Here is a 25,074-nt window from a genome sequence, read left to right on the forward strand (position 1 = left end):
CCTGACCCTGTCCTGGCCCTACTTTGGCCTGGCTCTACCCCGGCATGCTATTCTGGCCCTAGCCCTGACCCTGTCCCTGTCCCTGTCCTGGCCCTAGCCCCATTGCTGGTCCTGCCATTGCCCTTGTCCTGACATTGCCCTTTCCTGGTCCTGGCACTGGCCTTGTCCCAGCCCTGCTCTGGCCCTGGTCTGAACCCTGGCCCTGCAATGGACCTGCCTTGGTCCTGCCCAGACCCTGGCTCTGGCCCTACCTCTACCCTGGCCATACCCTTGCCCTGGCCTGGACCCCGGTCCTGGTCCTTGTCCTGCCCCAGCCATGGCCCTGGCCCTGCCCTGCCTGTGCCCTGTTCTATCCTGGGCTGGCCCTGCCATGGCCTGGTCTTGCCATTGCCCTGCCCTAGCCTGCCCTGCTTGTGCCCTAGATCTGCCCCGGCCTTTGCCCCTGTCTTGGTTCTAGCCTTAACTCTTAGACTAGCAAGGAGTATATATTTCTGGCAAAATTCCAGAAATGATTAACTAGATCGCTTATGGGCAACTGGTGAATCCACACTGATCCCTGGGATCACCATTTCCTTTTCTAAGAAGTCACGCAAGACCAACCTCATGGCTTTTTTGGATCAGGCTACTGGATGGGAACATGGGAGGGTGTGGCACCTGAGCCACCACGCCCAGCCTCCACATGCTTTTCAAAAACATTCCCATGTTTAAAAAAAGTTAACCATGGGGCTTTAAAGCACCACATGCTTTAAATGCCCCTTGGTGACTTGAATGTTCTACTCAGTTTATCATGAATGTTTTTCTGGGACAACTGACCTGTTTCCAACATATTTATTTATTTATTTATTTATTTATTTATTTATTTATTTACTTATTTTTGAGACAAGTTCTCACTCCATCACCCAGGCTGGAGTGCATTGGTGTGATCATGGCTCACTGCAGCCCTGCCCTTTTGCCTCAGCCTCCCGAGTAGCTGGGACTATAGGCACGTGCCACCACGTCCTAATTTTTAAATATTTTGTAGAGACAGAGTCTTGCTCTGTTGCCCAAGCTGATCTCAAACTGCTGGGCTCAAGAAATCCTCCCACCTCATCCTCCCAAAGTGCTAGGATTACAGGCATCAGCCACTGTGCCTGGCCTCTCCAGTGTTCTTGAGTGTTCCTGAGTGTCTACCCAATTCCTCAATGGCGGATGTCGAGACTGCAGCTCTGTTTCTGACGTCATAAACAGTGGCCTCAGCTAGTCCGTTTTCTTTGGGCCTCCTGATCCTCTTGGAGCACCCGTGCCACTCCTATTATCTGTCTGTTTCTTTGTCGTTGTTGTTGATTTTTTTTCTTTTTTCTTTTTCTTTTTTTTTTTTTTTTTTTTTTGAGACACAGTCTCTCTGTGTCGCCGAGGCCGGAGGGCAGTGGCACAATCTCGGCTTACTGCAGCCTCCGCTTCCTGGGTTCAAGCAGTTCTCATGTCTCAGCCTCCCAAGTAGCTGGGACTACAGTCACATGCCACCACGCCTGGCTAATTTTTGTATTTTTAGTAGAGAGAGGGTTTCGCCATGTTGGCCAGGCTGGTCATCTCCTACTCCTGTCCTCGTGTGATCCGCCCACCTCGGCCTCCCAAAGTGCTGAGAGTACAGGCATGAGCCACCACACCCACCCCCTTTCTTTCCACATTCTTTATGTCCCACGGAGAGGCTCAGTTCTTGAACGCGAGCAGGTACTCATGGCGTGAGCAGGTACTCATGGCCTGAGCAGGTTAGATGGTTAGGAGTTAAGGGCTCCAGACTTCGTATGCAACTTTTCTGAGTGGTAGAGAGCCTGCCTAGTGGGTATTCCAGTACTGCTGGGATGCAGTCACCTGTGTGGATTAATATTTTGCAAGGGTGTATGGGATGGAGTGGAGCAGGAGAGCCTGAAGTGGGGAGACCAAGTTGGAGGTTGTCAGTGAGACTTGCTGGGAACCTGAACTGGGGCAGTGGTAGCAGAAGTGGGGTTGAGGGGACAGAGCTGAGAGGCCCACGTGGAGTTGAATCAGCAGGCTTTTCCAGTCTCTGGGAGTCTGAGATGATCTTGGTTCTGCTCTGGGCTTTCGGAATGCCAGGACGCAGCCCCCTGCTGGAAAGGGAGCTCTGGCTGCCCATGGAGTAACACTATCATGCTAGGTGTGAGGGCTGGTTGCAGAGTGGGACTTCTGGCCAGGCCTGGGGACAGCAAGGAAAGGAGGGGACAGGGAGAGCAGGGTTGAGCAGGGGAGGCCTAGCAGATGATCAGGATAGGGTGCTTCCGGGCAGTTGAGCTTGGGTTGCTGGCTTCACAGAGGTATTGAGGCTGGGACAGAGGGAATGTGATGACAGGATGGATTCCAGCCTCCAGCAGAGCAATAGAAGATCGGGGAGCAGAAGGAAGAGGGAGGCAAGATCAAGAAGGAGGATGTGAGCAGGTTAGTGGCCAAGGAGGGGAGCATGTTCCGGAGAAAGCCTGGTGCTTAGCACAAGTTTTCAGTGGGACTGGGCTTAGGACACATAGGAGGTTAGCCTGAGAACCCCTGAGTAGCCCTTGTAATTGGGAAAGGGGGCCTGGCCTGAAAGGAAACATCACACCTAGAAGCAAGCCAGTACCCTTGGCCCCCATAGTCTTCTGCTGCTGCCTGGATAGCAGTGGGAGAGTCCCAGCTTCCCAGCCAAAGCCTTCTGAGCTTTTGTCCTGCCTCTGCCACTACTGTCTCAGTCCTATCACTTGACCCAGAAGCCTGGGGCTGATCTGCCCTTTCTTCTTGTCCCATGTGACTGCCCAACCATCATGGCCATTTCTCAGTGTGTGGCCCAGCAGGGTGAGGCACTTTCACGTTTTCAGGTAGCCAACCTCAAGAAGTCTTCAGCCTGCAGAGCTGGACTCCACCCATGAAAGAGCCTGTAGATGTCGCCTCCTAAGCCTCTCTCTCACAACCCTTGGGGCCACCACCATCCCATATAGACCAAGTGGGCTCCCTGCCACCTGCCTTCCCCCCTTTGGCTTGTGCACCCCACTTCCAGTGGCTTGCTATCACATGGATCCTCCAGGACGCGGCTCCCCCACAGTCTCTGCTTCGGCCTCCCCCTGTCACGAAGCAGCCATGTGGGTCTCATGGGAGAGCCTCACGTAATACATGCTCTCCCCCAACTCAATTCTCTGAGCATTTTGGGGGTCTCTGTGCGGAACACCCCCTCCAGCTGCCGGCCCAGCCAGAACCTCCTCTTCATGAATCTCTGAGGCTTCCCTGTGGAGCCTGTTCCGAGGGGCCCACACCATGTCCCTGGCTGACCCATAGTGCTGTCCTCAGGTCCCAGGGCAGCCTGCATATGCAGCTCTGAGGCGTGGCACTTGACAGGGTTGCCCATCATGGAAAACCTGGGCTCTTCCCCTTTAGACTGTTAAGCTCAGTGCCAAGGGCCTGGCACATATGAAGGGCCACTGAAACCTTTGGTGACTGAATGGGCTGTCCCGGGCTGACGGCGACAGCTTTAGGTGCATGTCTGGGTTGAACTTGTCGGGCTTTTTAGACAAGCAGCCCAGCTTTTCAGGTCTTAGGAGCTATGAGAGTTTGTGAAGATGGATGCATCGGGGCCACCTCCAGGGGACCACACTGGATGAGCCACTGGTTTCCGCTTGTGGAAAACTCCGGCAGTCGCTCCTGTTCCCTTCCTGCCAACCTTGCACTTCAGGGGGACAGCTAGCGAGAGGCCCTCTTGAGTCTTGGAGTGTGTTGGGGACAGCAGCTCCCTCTGGGCTGGGGTTTGTGTGTTCAGAGGACCTGCACTGCCTTCTCTGCCTTATTCAGTTTAAATGGTGGTCAAGGTTAGGCCCAAAGTGCTGGTTAGCAGCCAGTCACAGGAGGGCCCCTGTTTGTGTGGAAGCCCCCTGAATTTTTGCTGATCTGAACTTGATCCACAGGCATCTTTTGTTTCCTCCTTACCCCTCCAGGGTAGAATCCCATCGCTGTCATTAGCCCAGATGGAGCTGCCCGTGCTTCTCTGCTGAGCTGCTTTTTCTTCTTTTTTAGGTTGAGTCATCTAATCACAGACTACCTTTGCCTAAGTTGTCTTACCTCACTCGGTTGCTCTCTACCCTCCAGCTTACCCCAAACCGCTCAGATAGCTGGTTTTAAAAAAGATACACAGCAAAACCCCAGAAACCCAGCTGGTCTGTCACTTGTTCTCAAGAAGAAGGGAGGACAGGCGAGACCTACACCTGCCCCTTTGCCCTGTGCTTACTGCACTGTCCTCAGGATGGGCGAGCTCCATCTGGGTCGTGGGCTGGAGCTGCCACAAGGCATGTTCTCATTTGAAACGGCCTCCATTTCCCCCAGCTCTAGCCCTCCTCTTCCCATCTTCTCCAGTGTCTGTGTGCTGGGAGGCTACAAGGAAGGCAACGCAGCTGTACCAAAATGGACTTGGGGCAGCCCTTTGGGGCAGCCTTCTCGGGTCTGCTCTAGGTGACTCTCCCAGTTGTAACCTGTTTTCCTGATTCCAGACTTGTGGGTAAGAGTCGCTCAGGGCAGTAGAAGCCCTGGTGTTAGTCATTCTTCACTGAAGCCTTCCTGAGGCATCACCTGACTTGCTTCCTTGCCTGGGCGCTGCCTCATTTTTTTCTTCCACAGTTGGGGCATGTTCACGCAGAGTCCACTGGCCACCCTGCGGTAGGCCTGGAAAGTCAGCAGGTGGCGCTGGGACACCAGCTTTCTGCTGGCTGGGGGCAGAGGAGTGAGCTTGTGTGAACGCCATGTATATACAGGGGCTGGGGGTTGAATGACTTGACTCACCTGAAACCTGTCAGGTCAGCAGGGCGGGCCGAGGGTGGCCACAGCATGGAATCTTTTGGTCGGGACTTGCTTCTTCCCCATTTCCTATTAAGCCCATGTCCTCTTCCCCTTGCTCATGGGGGAAGACAGGGCTGCCGAAAAGTGCTTATGAGCCGTGGCTCTCCCCACTTGATATGGTTGGCCCTGTTTCTCTAGAGTCTGTGGAGAGGATCTGTTTCTCCTGTCTTCTCTGGTTTACTCAACCCTTTATAAAAGCACGACAGCCCCGCTCAGTGTCCAACAACATTCTATCAAGGAAGCCCAGTCAGACTGAGGCATTTGGGGCTGCCGTGTGTCTGCCAAGGCCACATCTGGATTCTGTTAAGTTTCATTCACTGGCCTTTTTTTGGACCCCAGGCCATTCTATTGGTGACCACCCTGTATCTGTAGGAGATGCCTTTGCCTCGTAGGTTCTTTCCTGTTTTCTGGAAATGAATAGCTAAGAACAGTGATTCGGGTAAGATTACTTGGGAGATCCAGCAGAGGCAGAAGCTAAAGACCATGTTCTGTGCCCTGTCCTGGGGGCCTGGGAAGCTACAAGGGAACAGACAGAAGCGCAAGTTAATGTGCCTGAGTGACCCAATGTGAGGGAGCAGGAAAATGTTCTAGAAGGCTGGCTCCCAGGCTGAAAAATGCCAGTGATCAGAGGGGACCTGGTCTGCATTGCTTGGGCCCTGGGTGGGGGCTGAGGGTGTGAGGATGCAGAGGCTGGAGCTCTGGGTTGTGCCTTCAGGTCGTGGCATTGAATGTTTTTTCTCCCTGCAGCCATGAGCCTGGCTTGCCCATCAGCACGGGTCTGAGATGGCGCCTTCCCACCCCTGTCTTCTGTCTCCTCTGTTGCTAGACTGAGCAGCTCTGTGTCTGTCTCTGCCACTCTTGGTGCCAGGCTCCCAGGTGAACACAGGTGCAATCTAGGCCCAGGGAGATTCTGTCCAGCCTTACATGCAGCCTCAAATCTGTCCCCTCACCTATCAGGGAGCACTTCCTCTCCTGGGAGTGGGATCTGGTCATCTGGAAGCCCAGTCCCGCCCCCCGCCCCCCTTTTTTTAGCTATACTTGCTGGAGTGGGCGCAAGACCCCTTTTCAGTGTGCCAGGTATGGGAGTGCAGAGATGAAGGCACAGTGCCCAGACTAAAGACCTTCATAGCCTGGTAGGGGAGCCATATAAATGGATGGCAGCCACGCAGAGAACCGAGAATGAGGTAGTTACATGCAGGTGCCTAGGGGGCTGCTGCAGGAGCCCCCAGAAGGCGTCCCTCTGATGGGGTGGGAGATCTGAAAGGGTTTCTGGGGGGGAGGTGAGGATTGAGCTGGGTCGAGAGGACATTCCGGCCTGGAGGACTGCCACACAGAACCAGGTGTGTTCCAGGAATGGTGAGGGGTTAGGTGTTACTAGAGAAGGGGGCCACGTGGTTAGTGAGGGAGGAGAGCTCACTGAGGGCATGCGTGCTGGCAGCAGGTGGCTTAAGCAGAGGGCTGACGTGGTCGGATTTGCCTTGCTCTGGGAGGTGGATGGGAAAGCCGTATGGTGGCAGATAGGGAGGAGGCGCCAGCAGTGGGGATGATGGCGGGTATGTTTGCAGTTGACATGGAAAGCGCTGGGTTGCGGCCTGGGCTAGGGGGCCAAGAGGGCCGAGTCTAAGGTGGTTTGCCTGCCCACGACTACAGCAGGGGCTACACGAGGTGGTCAGGTCAGGCAGGACAAGGGAAGGCCCATTTTGGACAAGCTGAGTCTAGAATGTCTCTGGGGACATCCAGGAGCCAATGTTTAGCAGGAGGTTAGGTGTGAGTCTGGGCCGCAGAGAAAACCCTTTCAGGGATAAGAGTGGCTGGGAAGAAGGTATAGGGTGTCAGCTGAAGAGTGCAGATCCCAGAGGGAGCAGAATAACAGTGGGAGGAGGGTGTTGTGAGGGGACCTCAGGAGGGTAACTTAGCAGCAGAGCAAGGAGCTCAGGGTAACCGCCTGCCTGGGTGGTTAGGAGGCCACTGGTGGCCCTGCTACTGGCTTGGAAGGGCAGGCTTTGGCCAGCCTAGATTGAGGAATACATGTGAGGGAAAAGACCAGGGGCTTGGGCAGGGTGACTCCAGGAAGGAAGCAGTTGAAGGTGAGGTTCCTGGGGGGAGAATGATCCCGGGTCATCCAGCAGGAAGAGAGAGGACCTAGAAGGTGTGAAAAAGAACTATCAGGCTGGGGGTGCAGTGGGAGGAGTATGCCTAGGGTGCTGTGGGGGTGGGGAGCACCTCTGAGGGTTGGCAAGAGGAAGGGGAACCAGGGCCTGGCAGAGGGGAGCCCCAGACTGTCTGAAGGCTGGGAACTAAAGGCCTGGGCTGGGGCTGAGCAGGGTCAGGCTTTCGGACAGACACGGCGTGGATCTTGTGCTGGACTTTGTGTATGCCCTGGCGTATCTTGGAAGCCCTGGTTCTCAATAGCCGGGAAAGGCCTGGAACGGTCCGAAAAGAGCTGGGCCTCTGCTGCACTGCCATGGAAGCATTTGTGTTAGCTATTTCCCTGGGTACTGGGGTGACAGCCATGGGCACTCACCAGCAGCCGCTTGCCTGGCCTGGTGGCGGGGATTATAGCCTTCAGTCTTGCTTGGTCCTCTCTCTACCACCAGGTGGCATGACCCCCACCCCTCAATTCCAGTTAGGAGTAGCGGTCCTCTTCCTCTCTACATCACTGGGATCTGCTCTGGGGCTGGGCAGCTCCTTGCCGGGGGTTGGGTCTTAGTCAGACTTGCCTTTCTTTCTAGGCCTCTCCAGTGACTTCTGGCCATGCCGATGTGAGTCAGATGCGTTCTTTCTCTCTGGCTCCTAGGGCGCTCAGTAGCTTCCTCCACCTTCAGGCTGTAGCCCAGTCAGGGGCAGGCCGGTCGGCAGCTGGGGGTTGAGGCAGGGAAACTTGAGCCCTAGGCCACGAGGTCCTGGGCCACTAATTTTAGAAAGCACATGTCACTGGAAACTCTCCTTCTCTGCCAGGAATCAATGGCCTGGCTCTTCTGGTGATGCCAGGGGCCCCTGGGAGCCTCTCCCCAAACCGGGAACCTCAGGGGTGTCTCCTGGCCTGGGTGGGTACTTTCTGTCCTGAGTACATCTCGAAAGGGGCTCTTCCGAGGCCCTGGACAGCCATGGCTTGGGCCAGGGAGGTAGCTCACCTTGTCTGCTCTCTACTTTCTCCAGCCCTTCCGGGCTGCCCCTGGCCATGAGCAGAGGCTGCGAAGTGTGAAGGCCTGGCTGGGGCAGGAGGCCACTTCGACTCTTCTGAGTAAGCTGTTGTTGAAGCACCCTGGACTAAGCAGATTTGTCTCTTCCTTCCCCCAGGCCCTGTGTGACCCTTGCCTTCTGAGGTGTGTGAGAAAGGAACCCCTACCTTGTTTTGACTGTTTGAACAAGTCCTTCCCTCCTCTCTTCCTGCCAGCTAACATCTCGGGGCAAGGGTGAACCAAGGGAAATGAAGTGGCCATTCCAATCTCTGTTTGGGGACTAGCATCTGCCTCCAGCTGCCACGTGTTTGCCTGTCTCTCCTGGCTTCTTCAGATAGGCAGCGTGTGCCTGTGTCCTGATTCCTGTACACCCTCCAGCCCAAGAAGACCTCGTTTGGGGTGCTGTTACATAACGGATGTGTTCCAGTGCAGCCTGAATGACAGGTTGGGAAGGAGGCTGGCCAGAGAAGAGAGTTCTATCTTATGTTGGGACCTGGGAGCCGTTCCCTGTTAGTTTAGAGAGTAGAGTGGTTCCAAGCTCAGGTTCTGGAGTCAGGCAGACATAATTTGGAATTCCAGCCATGTCCGTTTCTGGTTTTTGGCCTTGGGTACATTGATTTACGCTGCTGAACTTCAGTTTCCTTCTCTATAAGCTGGGGCAGTGATAGTAACTTCCTCATCAGGTAGATGTGAGGATGCGGCCTGGCATGTTGGAAGTGCTCAGATTAATTAGCTTCTCTCGTTACCTTACCAAGGCAAGCCCAGCCTTGAGGGGAGGAAGGTGGTGCTGTGGCTTGTCTGGCACGTCTAGGCCCCGACCCGGAAAGTGCCACGTTCCGGGACCTCATGCTGTATCGAGGCTCTTCCCAGCCCCCAGGCTCCTGCTTCCAGCCCCTCCCAGAGCTGAGGGTGGCCGTTGGGCACAGCGGCAGAGGACAGCTCCTGGGCTCCACCTTTTCCCTCACGCTGCCAGCACCAGGTTGGCGGCTTCTCGCTCAGCTGCCTTGGCAAGAGGGCAGGTCCAGGCTGGAGCCAGGTGTTGAGTGGCAGCAACCAGGAGGTGCTCCTGCCAGCCCTTCATGCACTTTTTCTCACTTCTCCCTTCTTTTTGTAAATAATCACGCCTGCTTAGATGCCTGGTGACTCTCATCTTGCAGCAGGCCACACTGTTGGCCTCCAATGAAGCCTTTAAAAAGCAGATGGAGAGTGCTAGTGAGGCGGCCAAGAAGTACACGGAGAATGACCAGCTCAAGAAGGTGAGTCCAGTTTCTCGACCCACCATGGGGCGTCCTGGTGTTATACTGCAGGAGCCATATTCTTTAGGGCCTCAGTGGCCACTGCTAGCCTATCACCCTGGGAAATGTGCCTGAAAAGCCAGAGTTGGGTGGAGGCACAGAGGGGAAGTCCTCAGTGGGGAGAGTATGCCTGCTGGAGACGTCTGTGTGTGGGGGTCCTGGTGAGGAGGAGGGTGTTGCTGCTCACGTTTCCATCCATTGCTTCCAGTCAGACCCTTCCCTGAGAAAAATGGCCCCTCAGTGAGCCAGGCCCTCTGCTGTGAACCGAAAGCCCTCAGCTAGGCCATTGTTCCCTGCAAGATTGCCGCACCCCCTCTGGAACTCGGGGTCTGTGGCATCCCTCAGTGCTGGAGAGGAGGTGGGGCCAGGGTAGTTGGCCAGTCTTAGAAGTCCTGTCAGGAGGTGAGCTGCAAGGCAAGCTCGGAGGGATGTGGATGCAGAGGTGGGATAGAGCTGGCCAGGCCGACTGGGGGCCCCTGACTGCAGTGAGTGGCACCGTGTAGAGAGCACAAGGCACCGCCATCCGCGGAGGGGTTGGTGAGCACCATGGAGCTGCTGAGCCCTGCTGCTCGGGAAGGAGGCAGGGCCAGGGGCCAGGGCAGGCAAGGCGTGCCCGGCGAGCTGCAGCAGGTGGCCCCACTGGCGCTTCTCTTCCCCTTGGCGGGCAGCCACGCCCTGGCCTTTGCCTAAGAGCTGGGAGCAAGTGGTGGCTCTGTTCCGCGTTGACATTTCCGAAGGGGCGAGTGGCCAGGGCAGCTTGAGGAACCGCAGCTTGGTGGGGAGGATGGGGCTGGAACCTCTCCCTCCCTCCCTCCTGAGTAACCCTGACCTTTGGCACTTTTCCCAGTGAGCTGCTGTTGACGGAGGCAAGTTGGATGTCGGGAATGCTGAGGTGAAGTTGGAGGAAGAGAACAGGAGCCTGAAGGCTGAGCTGCAGAAGCTAAAGGATGAGCTGGCCAGCACTAAGCAAAGTGAGGCTTGACCTCATGTCCTTCCCCGCAGGGAAGTCCAGAGGAGCGTCCTCTGCCCGCTGCTGCCCATTTTGTGCCAAAGTACTAGTAACAAGCCTTGCACGCATGCTCGAGGGCTGTGTGAAAACAAACAAATAGCACCCTATGCCTCCAACCCCAATGCAGCCATGCTTAGCCGGCAGGCCAGTGAGACTAAGTGGTTTGAATGGGGCTCAGGAGGAACCAGGCTGCAGTTGGTGGGACTCGATTGCCCTGCGCTAGAGCAGTGCACGCTGGGGCTTTCCCATCCAGAGTGTGGCACGGTAGCCCCAGCCTGCCTGGGGGCTTAGAATGAGGGGAGTGTGGGAGTGGTGTTCAGGAGCGGAGTGGGCAGCTCCCAGGCGGCCTGCCTGTCTTTGGTCTCCCATGCATAGACTTAAGTCTGGGGCGTTTTCCCACAATACCACAGGCCTCGCCTGCTGCTGCTGTCTGCAAGGCATGGTTGTCATTGGGTCTCGCTTTCAGGCTGGGATCTTGTTCCCTGTCTCCCACTCTCAGCCTCCCTGGAGGTTACCCTTGCCGAGAGCCACTAGAGTTCCCCTCCATTAAAGGGACTGGGGGATGTCCTCTGTATTTCTTTTGCTTTATCTTGAGCTTTTTTGTCAGCCTTTCCCTCTACTTTGGGGGCCTGCAAAAGCAGAGCGGTTTTATTTTGAGAAGTAGGCTCCTGTATAACCTCGTTTGAGATAGATTTGGGCCAGTTTCTGGTGTCTGTAGAAGCTGGGTTTTTACCCCCGATTCCTGTCTTTTCATTTCTGTTTTCTTGGTCATTTACATCATTTCAAGAACTAGAGAAAGCTGAAAACCAGGTTCTGGCCATGCAGAAGCAGTCTGAGGGCCTCACCAAGGAGTACGACCGCTTGCAGTAGGAGCACGCAAAGCTGCAGGTCAGCCCTCACGTATCGCTGCGCCCAGGGCAGGAAAGCAGAGCAGGATGAGGCAGCCCCTGCGGGTGCGGAGGGAACCTTCCAGGGGCCCAGGGGCCGGCTGCCCTCTCCCCCACTCCCCCTGGCCACCTCTGCCCTACCGAGTGGGACCATTCACCGGGCAGGAGAGGGGTGGCCTGGCAGCAGATGTAGACACTTGCCGAGGCAGCCCTCAGGAGTGGCACTGGCTCACTAGGCTCTAAGCCTTCCTATCTTCGTGCTCAGGCTCATTCCATGGTTTGGGGCCCAGTCAAGAACAAAGAAGCAGGTGAAACTCTGGGACCCACTGCTGGCCTTCTTTCCTAGAGTGCTGGGGGGTGACATAGGGCAAAGATCCCTGGGCAAGTAAGGGCACAAGGTGTCAAAAAGGCACCTCCCCTAGCAGGCACTAGTTGTGGCCATCACCTGCTGCCCTAGGCCTGATCCAAGTCCTCAGACTAGCTTGGGTGCACCAGGCCACATTTGGAAGCCAGGCGGTCTTGACGTTGGGAGTGAGGGCCACATAAATACTCCTAACTTTGGACAGCTGGCCTCAGTGCTTGGTGGCCCAAGTTTGGGCACCACAGCAGGTGGGGAGGAAGGGTCCAGCCTCAAAGAGGGCACCCATGCCCTCTGTATAGGGCAGGCTTGGCAGACGGGACTTGGGCTTCGAGGGCACCTGTCAAAGGTGTGCAGAGTTGGGAAGGGCCTGATCAGGTCTTGAAGGGTACTGGATACCTTGCTGTTCCCTGCAGCCAGGACTCAGCCCCCAGTGAGGTCCTGGCAGTCCTCCCTGGCTGGCGTTAGGTCCAGGGCTTTCCTTAGAGCGTGGGCCAGGGCTGATGCTCCTACCCTGGCAGGCCTTTGGGTGTAGCCGGGGAGGGGGCCCCTTGCTCACTTGAATAGCTCTCATTAGGAGAGAGGGGAACCGAGCTGGACCTCTGGGGCAGGGGGCTGGAGATGGCAGGGGAGGAGTGGACCTGGCCAACCTACTGCTGTGGGATTTCTGTCCCTTTCCAGGCTACAGTAGTTGGTCCCATGGACAAGAAGAAAGAGTAAGGGCCTCCTTCCTCCCTGGCCTGCAGCTGGCTTCCACCTGGCACGTGCCTGCTGCTTCCTGAGAGCCCAGCCTCTCCCTCCAGTACTTCTGTTTGTGCCCTTCACTTCCCCCATTCCCTTCCACAGCTCATAGCTCGTCATCTTGGCCCTTGTCCACACTCTCCAAGCACATTACAGGGTACCTGATTGCTACACGTTCAGAATGCATTTGCTGTTATCCTGCTTGGCCTGGCCAGGCCTGGCACAGCCCTGGCTTCCACGCCTGAGCGTGGAGGACACGAGTTAGTTGTAGTTTGGCTTGCGGTGGGGCTGACTTCCTGTTGGTTTGAGCCCTTTTTTGTTTTGCCCTCTGGGTGTTTTCTTTGGTCCCGCAGGAGGGTGGGTGGAGCAGGTGGACTGGAGTTTCTCTTGAGGGCAATAAAAGTTGTCATGGTGTGTATGTGGTGCGGTGTGTGACTGTGGCCATGGAGAGGGCTCTGCTTTCTTTCCTGCCTGGAGCCCCCAAGGGGCCACAGGCCTTCAACCTGTTTCCACCACTGAAGGCCAGGCTCACACCTGTTCTCAAAGGCCCTGCCCTCTCTGTCCTCTTGCTCCCCGGGCTGGGCCAGGCCTCGCTTCAGGGCCACCCACTGAGTGTGTGTCCTGTCTGCCTCCCTGGGTGTGGGCAGCTTGGGAGGCTCAGTAAACCGGCAGGGCTTCTGGGTAGAGGACTCGCTTGCCTTCTCTGGGTTCCCGTTCGTCACATTTGGGACAGACAGAACGTGGCAGAATGCCACTAGTCACTCCCTGCCCCACCCCCTCCTGAAGGTTTGCAGGATGACCTCTGACTAATGCCAGCTGGGAGAGGAGACTTGTCCTTGGCAGTGACCTGGAGCTGGCCCAGGGCAGAGCTAGGCAGAAAGGGGCTGGGGCCCTTGGCCCTGAGAACGTGCTGGGTGTGTGCCTGCCACCAGAGCGCTGTGCTGGTGCTGGCTCCAGGGCGTCCCTCCCGTGGCTCCCTCAAAGCTGTGTCTTCCAGGCCCACAGCAAGCCAGGCCAGAACCGAGGCTTCCTGCCTGGCGCCAGTGCCCAGGCCCCTGCACTGTGCTGCTCTCCAGTAGCACATGAGGAAGGCAGTCCCCGCCCGCAGCACAGTGCTCCCACCCTGCAGGGCCTCTGCCATGCCTGGTGTCTGCATGAGGACTGGGCGGAAGGGTCAGGGGAGCAGGTTAGAGGTGTGTCTCCTGGAACTGGGGGGACCCCTGAAGGATGTTGATGCTGGCAGGGTAGCTGATGGCCTGCTGTGCATGCTTGCTTCTGCCTGCCCTGCCCAGGCCCAGGCCAGTGGTTCCCTTCTCTAGCATCCTGTCGCCCTTCCCTTGTGCTCAGAGCACAGCTGCCTCGTGACAAGTTCTGTCCCTTTCCAGGCGGTCTGAGAGGTGGTGTCTGAGGGAGTAGGGGACACGTGGGCAATACCCTCTGGTTGCTGTGCCAAGGCCGAAGGCTGATACCACTTCTCCAGGAAGTGTTCTCGGCTACCTTGGGCCTCCCTGAGCTCACCCTTCTCTGAGCTTTGAAAGGCTAAAGTCCAAATGGGTGCTTCCCTCACCAGCCCTGATGGCTTCTTCCACTGTTCTGCCTAGGCTAGCAGCAGACAGAAAGCTGCACGAGGCCAGCTTCTGGAGCGCCCTTTCTAGTGGAGTGATGGAACAACATTGGGGCAGGGGGTGTGGGCACAGGCTCTTAGAGATGAAAATTGAGGCGCTTGCCCAGCCTAGACTGGAGGGCGGCCTGCAGGCTTGCGCTTTCCTGGATCAGCTTCTGTTCCAGGGCATCTGCACCCGTGGGCATCCTGATCTGTTTTCTCACCCATCTTCCACTAGACTGTGAGCTGCTTGAGGGCAAAGCCTGCTGCTTGTTGATCTCTGTGTCCTAACCCCTCATGCGGGAGCTAAGTCCTGAGGTAATGGTGTCTCCATTTCAGAACCCACTTTAAATGACATGCTTCTGTGAAGTTTCCTTTTTTCAATGTCTTTTTTCTGTGTGTTTGGTGTCATTGTGGTGCATGAGGTGGCTTGGAGGGCATTTGGCCTGGAGGTGTGGAGAACAATTAGCAGAGGGTGATTGTCATCCAGGCAGAGACCTGGCTGACAGTGTATAAAGCAGTTGGCCTGAGCTCAGGGGTCCTGAGGGTGACCGTGGGCTGCAGGACAGTTGGAGTCGGTTGGGGACAGGGGCTGTGTGAAGGCCTGGGGCACCCTAGGGAGAGGTCTTGCCGACGTTGGGAAGCACCTTTGCAGCTAAGGAGGGCCAGGCTGGAGATCTGGGAGCTGCCAGCCAGGTGGGGTTCTTGAAGGCGCAGGCATGGTGAGAGGACAGGCTTCTCGGGGAGAAAAAGAAAACTAGAAACAGTGGTTGCCGAAGAGATGGGGGCCAGAGCAGGCTCCAGAGCCCCCAGCTGAGCTAGGGTGGGACTGCGCTGCCACTCCTTTCTCTGCTCCCTGTCTGGTCCATGTATTTCTCACCCAGGCTCTTGGTTGGCCGTATTCTAAGCCAGGTCCCTCTCCTGGCTCCAGAAGTTTAGGGGTAAAGCCCCTCCATAGGGGGTGCTGCCTGCTGAGGAGCAGGGCCTCTGGGGGTTCTCCCATAGCATGATAGCAGTCCTGGGCAGGACGCAAAGGGAGCAGCCCAAGCTGTCATTTTGCTCTGAGGGGTCACCTGCTCCCCCTTCACAGGCTCCAATCCCTGATGCTCTCTGTGCTTGCCTGAGCCACCCACTGCATTGCCTGCTGTGCCCTGCCATGGTGCCCAGCCCTTTCAGGGTGGGGTGCCACATGCTCATCTTGTGCATGGGTCCCGCCCCTTGAAGGACCTGTCTGTACTCACTGTCTTCAATTCCTCTCCGCCTCTTCTCATGGTAAAACGCATGTATATCACACATATATATAGTGTCATCAATGTATATGTAATGAGCCATTTTCACCATCGTTAAGTGTGCAATTCAGTGGCATTAAGTGCAGTCACAGTGTTGCGCAGCCACCACTTCCGTCCACCTCTAGAATTTATCTTCTCAAACTGACACTCTGTCCCCACTCAACACTCCCCACCCTGTCCCCAGCCCCTGGCACCCACCCTTGCCCTCTGTCTCTGTGGATCTCCCTCCTCTCATGTAAGGCCCTGTCTCTCTCTCAGGAGCAGAACCCTATAGCAAGTGTCTCTTTATGATGGATCATTTCACAGAAATGCCCTCCAGGGGTCAGCCATGTTGTGTCGTGTGTTGGAGTGCCTTCCCTTTCCAGGCCGGCTCATATTTCCTTGTCTGGGTAAACTATGTTGTTGTCTCTCCCTTCGTCTGCAGATGACAATGGGCTGCCGCCACTCCTTTTCTCAATCGCACACCAACCAGCCTTTCACACGCAACCCCTCATGCAAGCCACCCTCACCAGGCCCCTGTGACCCTTGCCAGACTCAGTGAGCATTTGCAGGTCACTGTCCTTCACCAGCAGCAGCAGCAGCAGCAGCACTGGACAGATGGAGCCAGCCACTGCTCCTCCCTGACCTGTGAGGGGTCCTCACTGGCTCAGGTTGCAGGACCCCACCAGGAGCTCTCAGGCATCCTCCCCCATTGCTGCCGCATCTTCCCTCTGCCCCTCTCATTGTGTCCCGGGACTTGCGGCGTCCCTGTGAGCTCACCCAGGTTCAGGGCTTTCAGTGTCATCTCTATGTGGTAAGAACTTGCAAAGTTCCATCTCCAGTACTTTCTGGAACTCCTGTGTCCACCTGCCAACTAGACATCTCCACTTGGATGACACTTCCTGCATGACACACCCAAGGCTGACTCCGGACCATTCTCTCCTTGCCTCCCCATTGCAGGACCTGGCAGCTCCATCTTTCCTCTTGCTCAGGCCAAATCTGTTGTCCTTAACTCCTCTTTGAGCCCTGCATCCTGGTCATGCACAACCCCTACTGGCTCCACCTTCAAAATTGATCCCTGATGCAAAGAGTTATCCCCTCTGCTGCTATCAGCCTGGCCCAAGTGACACAAGGCACCTGTTCAGTGACAAATTCTTGGGGTAACATTTTGAAAATTTCAGCACCCATGGCTTTACACCCATCCTTCCCCGTGGGTGTGGCTGCTCTCCAGCTCTCTCATCCTGCTCTTCCCAGGTGCCTCGGCTCCAGGGGGACAAGGTTTTCCCTGGGCTGCTGCCTTCCCTGCTCCCTTCCCAGTCCCCAGAAGGGTGCCGGCCTCAGAGGCCTCCAGAGTAGAGCCTTGCCCACCACAGCAGCTCCAGCTGGAGGAGGTTCCCCCTACTTCCTGCACCTCGACCCCTTAGAGCAGCAGAGGCAGAAGCAGAGGCCTGCTTTGGAAAATGACAGGTTTTTATTGCTATGTTTGCAGTGGCTTTTTAGCACAGTAAGAATGTCCCCGCAGGCCCACCACCCTCACCCAGCCCCAGCCCTCCAGCCTCTGTCCGGGTGTCAGGGAAGCCTTTCTTGGGGTCACTCAGCCGTCTCGGGACTGGACGTGACAGACATACGTGGGTTAAAGCCGCTACACAGAAGACTGGAGGTGCAGGAAGTGCATCCGCCTTGAGCCTGGATGTGGGAGCCGTGTCCGGGGTCCCTTCCCGGGGGTGTGCCCAGCCCAGGGCACAGGGTGGGAAGCCTGAGCAGGCCAGGTTAGCAGCCCAGACACCCAGGATGGAATATTGCAGCCTCTTGCCCCACAGACCTGTGGGCAAAGGGACAGCGTGGGGACAGCCCCGAGGCCCCCACCATGCACTTTTCCAATCCATTCTGGGTCTGGGGACCACACACACACATCCACACAACAGACTCGCACATGCAACAGCTCGAAGCTTTTGTTTTGCCTCTGAAAGTTAGATCTATAAATTCACACTCCTAGGCTAGGGGCAGAGGGGTAAGGTAGGGCTCACAGGAATGGGAGTGGTAAGGAGAGGATGGTTTGGGCTCCTTCCTCTTTTTAGAAATATACAAGCAGAAATCTCATTCTCTCAAGTTGTTATAAAATGTGCAAAATACAAGCCTCCTTTGCCCAGAGGCACCATTTACATCTGGTATTCACCTTTGCTAAGAGATAGAGATCTATATATACTCTACGTGCTCACGCACGCGTGCACTCGCACCCAAGCTCACACAATTGATATTGGTGGTGATTGGCGCAGGAACCAGAAGGTTCCACTGCTGGCTGGCTCTCTAAGCTTCTATAACAGGGATGGGGAGAGGGGTATAGCCCAGCTGAAATATTTGTCTTGGTTCTGCTGCCCCTCCCTTGCCTCCCTTCTCCTCTCTCTCCTCCCTCCCGTCTCTCCCTCCTTCCCTTCCTCACATTTCCCAAGCTGCCACTGCTGCTTCTGGGGTGAGGGGTCACCCAAGGGTGTGCTACAGAGCAGAACCTGGAGAGGTGGGCAGGGGGTGGGCGTGGCAGGGGCAGGAGGAGTGCAGCACTGTGGGTGGGGGTGGGGCACTAGGCGGGGCCTAGGACCAGCTGGGCTAGGACTGGAGGGGGAGAGGCATCTATTTTTGGTGGGTTGTGATATTTTTGGCGTTTTATTAAAAATGGAAAAAGTTGTTTTAGTGAGCACTCATGGTGCTTTCTCCCCTCCTCTCCCAGGCAGACCCCAAAAGCGTCAGGGAAAGGCAGGCCCCCTGGAGGGGTGGGGTGGGGATGAAGCAGGGGCTGCTATGGCTACCAGAGGTGAGCTGGTGATGTGAGCTGAGCTGTCCCATGACACTCTCCACCACGACGACCTTGCTGCTCTCGGACACTGGGGTCAGGGTGGTCAGGCCCCTGACATCTGCATCCTGAGCTCGGTACTCCAAGTGGTGGAGGCCCCAGATGGGCTGGGTCAGGTGCTTCCAGCACTGCAGGAGAGGACATGTTGAAGCCCCCAGAGTCACCTGCTCATCCCCACGGTGACTTCCTCTGCCTCTCTCCAGCTCCTGCTGCCTGCCACCCTAGTCAGGGCCACTCCTTGGCTAGGAAGCAGGCTGGGTTGAATGTTCATAGCAGGGGAGGGGAGGGCAGGCCGGGAGGGAGCCTTACCTCAGCCATGGTGCCCTTGGCCCTGAGGAGGCAGCCCAGGAGGTGCAGTGGCATGCACAGCATGGAGGACAGCACGAAGGCCCAGCCCATGGCCTCACCCCACCACGGGTACACGTTGGTGTTTTTGTAGACCAGCGGCTTGTAGTACACAACGTTGAAGATGAAGATGCCCTACAGACCAGAATGCCGTGGTTAATGGGGCCCCCACCCCGCCCCGCCCCCCCCACCCCGCCCCACCTCCCCCAGCCCTTACCATGCAAACCAGCGGGGTGAAGAAGGACCAGCACCATTTCATCCAGGGGCAAGGTCGGTACCCGATCATACAGGCAATGTCGTCCGTGAAGCGGTCAGCTCCTGTGGCAAGGCGAGGCGGGAGGGCCAAGCTGGAGACCTGCCTTCCCCGCCACCATGCCCCAGCCCAGCCCTCAGCCATGACCTACCATACACCCAGACCACCACCACGCACTCCCAAAAGGCCTGCCAGAGCAGGGTGGTGCCACTGGCTGAGTAGTAGTCAAACAGCTGGAAGACATACATCCCACCCTGGGGGACAGAGCCCAGTCAGGGAGGATGGCAGACGGCCACCAGAGGTCACAGGCAGACCCCCCACCCCACTCACATCAGTCACCATGGAGAGATCAATGACAAAGCGGAGGGCACAACAGAGGGCCACAGAGATCTCCCTTTGGAAACAGAAGTAGTAGGAGGCTGGGAGGAGGTTGAGGAGGCCGGTGATGAAGCCCTCCACACCTACAAACTGTGGCCAGGCTAGCTCAGGCCGAGCCCCGCACCACCCTCCACCCCTTTCCTTGCCCGCAGCCCTCACTCCGCCCCTCTCCTGGCTCCCTGTCCCAGAGCCCCATGCAAATCTGGTTGTCGAGACCAAGCAGCAACAGCATGAAGAAGAACAGGGCAGCCCAGAGTGGGGCCACTGGCATCAGTGTGACAGCCTGTGGGTAGGCGATGAAGGCCAGGCCCGGCCCTGTGGGAAAGGTGCAGGCTCTAGACCTTGCAGCCGATGTCGTGCCCTGCGCGCACCCTGAGCCCTGCCTGCAACACTCACGCCCATGCCCACGCCTGCCTCTGAGGTGCTGTCAACCCTGGGTCATGCAGCAGGGGCTGGGAGGTCCTGTCTCTGTCAACATTGAAAAATCCCAGGACCTGCCCCCACAGGCCCACAATCTGAGAAGTTCTGTTTGAATCCTCATCACTTTTCAGCATTTCTATTGCGTGTTCTTGTACATCATGCATCTGGGTGGCAGTTGCTGCTCTGGAGGCGGGGCTGGGGGTAGGGCCCTACCTGACTCTGCCACCTTGGAGATGTGCATGCCCTGCTCTGCAGCCATGAAGCCCAGGATGGAGAAGACCACGAAGCCAGCAAAGAAGCTGGTCCCACTGTTGATGACAGCCAGGATGATGGCGTCCTGGAGGGGTGGAGGGGCCAGAGTGGATGGGTTAGGCTGCTGGGCAGGGCAGGGCGGGACAGGGCACGGGTGGCAGGGCAGCAGTGCTTACTTGTAGCAGTTGTTGTTGAAGCGGTTGTAGCTGCCCAGGGCTGTGAGGGCCCCCAGGCCAATGGCATAAGAAAAGAAAATCTGGGTCCCCACATCTATCCATACCTAGAGGAGGGCTGGAGAGTGCAGGCATGAGGGGCCTGCAGGGCTCCCCCACAACACCCTGCTGCAGCCTCCCCACCTCCACCTCACCTGAGGGGACCCCAGCTTTGACCAGTCAGGCTTGAGATAGTAAATGATGCTGTCCAGGGCGCCAGGCAGCAGCACTCCAAGCACAAGCAGCACGACCAGGACCACGTAGGGGAATGTAGCAGTGAAGTACACGATCTGGGGGGCCAGGCTGCTCAGCGGGGACTGCGGCACCACCTCCCTCACAAGCCCACTCCGAGCACCTCCGGTCCCCCTTGCGGGCAGGTATGTTCAGAGGTCCCCATTCTCCTCCGAGCCATAGCTCCCGCCAGAGGAAGCTAGGGGCAAGGCTGGGCCCCGGCAGCCCTGGCAAGTGCAGTGGGGAAGCTCTCTGGGCGCCTCGTTTGTCTGCAGGGATGCATGTCAGTGGGGAGCGGGCGAGCCTCTAGGAGCTCTCCTCAGTGGGGACAGGAGGCATGGAGCATGTGGGGAGTGAGAGCTGTGTGAGTGTGTGGGCAGTGCACGCATGGGAGGCCCAGGCAGGGAGCGGGATATTGGATCAGGGCCGGGCCCCCCTCCTCTTCTGGAGAGAGGTCGGGGCTGAGCAGGTGAAGAGTGGAACTGGGCCAGGCAGAGGCAGGCAAGATGCGGCTGCCACACTGTCTGCCCCCTCTTCCCACATGCTGCTCTGGGGACCTTGTCCCCCAGGGAGCTGGCCATGTCCCACAGCTCTGGACATTGTCTTCTTTGTTCAGGTGACTCCCCAGCCTGACCAGGAGCCCCCAAGGGATGTGGCCAGACTCTGCTCTGTGTCCCCAAGGCAAGATAGGCAGGTAACAGATGGCCAGACCAGGTCCAGCAGACTGTCACAAGAGTCAGAGACTGGCAGGAGGGCACCGGTGGGGGTGATGGGCACAGGGAAGGGACAGTGCCTGCTGGGGCCTCTCCCCACAGGAGCAAAGGCTGCTGGGCCCTGGATTTGCAGGGTGGGGAGTGTTGCTTGGCTTTCAGTACCTCCCCCTTCCTTAGGGCTAGACTCTGTCTGGTCACCTCCCGTTGCTACGGGTGTGCCTGGCACAGACATCCAGCTCCCAGGGCTGAGCCACCCTCCCCCCTGCATGCCTCTAGTGGTACCTTTCCCATGGATTTGACCCCCTTTCAGACACAGAAGTAGACCAGCACCCAGCAGGCCAGCAGACAAAGGGTCACCTCCCAGTTGAGGGCCCCTGGCACCTCCAGTCCCCCAGACAGCCTCAAGACTTTGTTCCTAGGGGAGGGAGGGAGGTCCCATGAGGCCTGTGCCAGCAGAGGATGGAGCCACAGGGTCCACCCCCAGGAGTCGTGGCTCCCTTCTCTCCCACAGCCCAGGGTTCAGTGGGCCCTCTTGTCCATCTGGGCTGGGCCTGGAGCCCACGAGCCCCTGGCCTTTGGGAGGCCACTCCCATCCCACCCCACATGCAGCCCCAGCTCCCCCATCAGGCGGGAGTGACCAGGACAGTGATAGGCTGCCGAACCCAGGAGCAAGGCTGACCTGGCGCAGCCCCTGGGGCTGGCCCCAGGACTCTCCGAGGGCAGACAAGGGCAGGCAGGGTCCAGGAGGGACTGCCAAGAAACACCCTGGTCCCCTCTCAGGGCCATTCCCCTGGAGCCAGGCAACATGAGGGAGACCTGGGGGATGGGATGGGCTTGGCCCAGAGGTGCTGGACTCACTCCCAGAACTCGATGACAGGGGACTGGCGGTCAGCAAGCTGGTCACAAGTGAGGTTGGCCAGGCTGGCACTGGCACAGTCTTCATGGCGGAAGATCTCCACACAGTCGGGAGTGTTCCAGGTGTGGCCACATGTGGCCCAGGGCAGCGTGGTGCTAAAGGACTTGACCAGGTAATAGAAGCCCCAGGCCAGCACCATGATGTAGTAGGTGTTGCAGTAGAAGACGATCACCATGGAGGCATAGCCCAGGCCTGGGGCCGGGAAGTCCTTGCCATGTAGATTCTTTCCTGGCCACCTCCCCTGCCACCCCTTTATCTCCCCACCCAGGCTGGCAGTGCTCCCACCGTCTGTCCTTCTGGAGCCTTGTTTGTGGTGCTCCTGACTCCCCTGGACTCCCCCTTGTGTGAGCCCCAACACTGGGCTGACTCCCCAGCCTCTCTCCTCTCCTCCAGCCGCCCCCTAGACCCAAGGCAGAGCGAGCCCCTCTCCTCCTGTCCCCATCTGACCAAGTGCTGTTGAGTCTCCAGCCTTACACACCTGGCCCCTTCTGTGGGTCCCACTGCCACCATGGCGGTTCCAGGAGGTCCAAGCCTCCACCTGGCCACCCAGTAGCTCCAGTCCTCAGCAGCTGGTGGTGGTGGTGGTGGGGAGGGGGGGAGTTTCTAGTAGCCTGAGGTAGTGTTGGAGACAGTTGCCCCCGTAGTGGGCAACCTCAGTACGTCGCTCCACCTGTCTGTGCCCCAGCGTCCTTGGGGACAGTAATAGTAGGACCTACCTAGAGAGCCAAGTGTGCTGGGCAGGTCCCATCCCCAGCCCGGCTATGCCTGGCCTGTCCTTGCCTTGTGGAGCTGCCTATGCCCCCTCTAGTCCCTGCTTCCCCAAATTCACTGTGCGGCCTGAACATCTCCTCCAGGCTCCCCCCTCGAGACTGGGATGCCATCACGTGGCCCCAGGCCTGGTGCTCAGGACAGGAAAAGATTTCTCAAGTGGGAGCCAGCTGGGAAAAGGGGGCAGTCCCTGAGGCTGGCCAAGGGCTGCTCACCTTTGAACAAGGGACAGATGTTCCAGACATTGATGCTGCCGGCCTTCATGAACTGGCCCAGCGAGATCTCCAAGAAGAAAATGGGGATTCCTCCGACCAGGGCTATCAGGATGCAGGGAATAAGGAACACACCTGGGGGTGGAGGCACAGGGTGGACTCAGGGTGGCCCCCAGCCAGGCTGCCCAGGCCCAGCGGGCCAGCCCAGACTCCAAAGGCCCCATCACAACTTCCCACTGGGTGAGTCAGTGTAGGGGTGGCCACTGACTCGGGCCCCACGTAGGGTCTTGAGGGGCTGGGTTCAGTGTGTTGAAGAGGTGCTACAGTAGCCCCTGGGCCATTGAAGTCCTATTCCCTGGGTGGCAGAGAGGCGCTAGGCCCACAGGGCTTCCACCCCCACGGTCACTTGGGGTGATGGCCATGGAGGACACGCACGCTCAGACACGCAGCCTGTCCCTAGTGCCGCAATTCCCTGTTTCAGGCAGCACAGTGAGGGCATGTGCGTGTGTGCATGTGCGCCAAGGCTGGGTGATCAGGCCTGAGGGGCTCATCCAAAGGCAGGGAGCGCGACTGTCCTGCACTTGGACGCTTGCCTGCAAGTGTGAGGTCCAAGGCAGAGGGCGGGTGGGTCACAGTCCCCTGCTGGTGGGATGGCCACGTGCAAGGACAGAGGGATACAGGTGCGGGAAGAGGGGCCAGGCCGGCCTTAGCAAGCCCAGGGAGTCAGGCTCTACAGGAGATAGGCAGGGCATGGCACAGGCCCTGGCCAGCAGGCTGGGGTGGGGGTGGCAAAAGGGCAGGGAGAGCTGGGTGCCACTACCCCCTTCTCCTCTCTGGGCCTCCTACCCTTGCCCTGGCTGGGCTCGCTCCACTACTCAGAGGCCGAGCTTGGCTGCAACTTGCCTGACTCCAGGTCCCAGCATCCTTCTCCTAACTTTGGGCAAAGGCCTTTGCTCTGGACCTCTGTTTCCCACCCATCACTGGGTCACTTCGGCTTCCAGAAACCCCAGTGCTGTTTTGTAGTCACAGGACACACGCGTGCCCATCGCTCTTGCTAAGCTGGGCCCAGACAGGCGGGCGGGCATGGGACGTGCATGCAGTGTTTCCAGTGGCGGCGCCAGGCGGGCCAGGCCACAGGCTTCCCAAGCCTGGCTCAGGTACCCAGTGTTCCAGCCCCGGGCCAGAGGGGAGGAGCGGGAGGGCTGCGAGGGGAGGGGAGGGCAGGGAGAGGAACAGAGTGGCCCATTGTGTGTGTGTGTGTTCGTGTGTGTGCACACGTGGGGGGCCCACACAATGTGCCGCTTGTGTGCCCGACCCGCAGGGGCAGCCAGGGCTCCTTACCTCGAGGAGACCCCAAGGCGCAGGCCTGCTTTCCCACCTCGGCGGCCAATCGCTCCTTCCAGCCCAGGAGTCTGGGGGGCAGCCTCGCGGGCATCGCCGGCCCCCGCCCCTCACCCTGCCAGGCACATGACTGCGAGAGGGGTGGAGGCGGACGGCCCAGCCACCGAGCAGCAGCGGTGGACCAGGGGCGGCCCCGACCCCGCGTGCCCAGGGGCCAACCGCTGCCCGGACTTCACCCCTCCGCGGCGGCTCCGGGGGTTGGGGGTCGGGCGTCAGGGGCCGGCGGCCTGCTGGGGGAGGGGGCCGCGGGGGGCGGGGGAGCTCACCTCCGCCATTCTTGTAGCACAGGTAGGGGAAGCGCCACACGTTGCCCAGGCCCACGGCGAAGCCCACACACGACATGATGAAGTCCATCTGGCGCGTCCAGGTCTATCGCGCGCGGCGGCACGGCCAGGCCGCCGCCGGGTGTCCCCAGGCCCGCGGGGCCGTCGCCCTTGGCCCGGGCCCCGTCGGGCCCGGGCGCGATGAGGGGGCCCTTCTTCTGGTCGCCGGACACGCTACAGATGCCGTTCTCGGCGCTCTTCTTCGCCATGGCCCCTGCGGGCCTCACGGCCGGGCTGGGGTCGCGGCACCCTGCGGGGGGCTGCGGTCAGGCGCGGGGCACCGGCGGCACCGGGGAGGGCCCCGAGGGCGCGGGCCGGCCGGGGGCCGGGGGGCGGCCGGGCCGGGGGACGGGGCGGCGGGAGAGCGGCGGGGTGCGGGTCACAGGCGGCGCAGTCAGAAGCAGTCCACGAAGCACTTGAAAGTGAGCCTGAAGAATCTCCTGTGTGTCAGGGGCCCGGGGGCGCGCGGGCGTCGGCGGGGCCCGGCCAGGCGTCCGCGGCAGCGGTTCCGGAGGCTCTTGCCCGCGGCTCGGGCGGTGGCGGCTGCCACGGCTCCTCGGCCGACCCGAGGCTCAGCCTAGCGGGGCGCGGGCGATATCGGCGCTCGCAGT

At 58.6% G+C, this 25,074-nt stretch overlaps 2 pseudogenes across 1 annotated transcript; one reads left to right on the top strand and one right to left on the bottom strand.

Moving 5' to 3' along the window:
- BCAP31P2 (B cell receptor associated protein 31 pseudogene 2) lies at nt 9,154-12,743 on the top strand (annotated as a pseudogene).
- Nucleotides 16,644-24,313, bottom strand: SLC6A10P (solute carrier family 6 member 10, pseudogene; annotated as a pseudogene). The gene is made up of 9 exons (NR_003083.3): nt 24,081-24,313; nt 21,702-22,874; nt 19,864-21,258; nt 19,649-19,772; nt 18,789-18,891; nt 18,602-18,702; nt 18,349-18,519; nt 17,996-18,167; nt 16,644-17,013 (listed from the first exon to the last, which is right to left on the bottom strand). The product of NR_003083.3 is annotated as a solute carrier family 6 member 10, pseudogene (transcript).
- Between the last annotated feature and the right edge of the window lie 761 nt (nt 24,314-25,074).

This window comes from Homo sapiens, chromosome 16, assembly GCF_000001405.40.
Source record: "Homo sapiens chromosome 16, GRCh38.p14 Primary Assembly".
Classification (NCBI taxonomy): domain Eukaryota; kingdom Metazoa; phylum Chordata; class Mammalia; order Primates; family Hominidae; genus Homo; species Homo sapiens.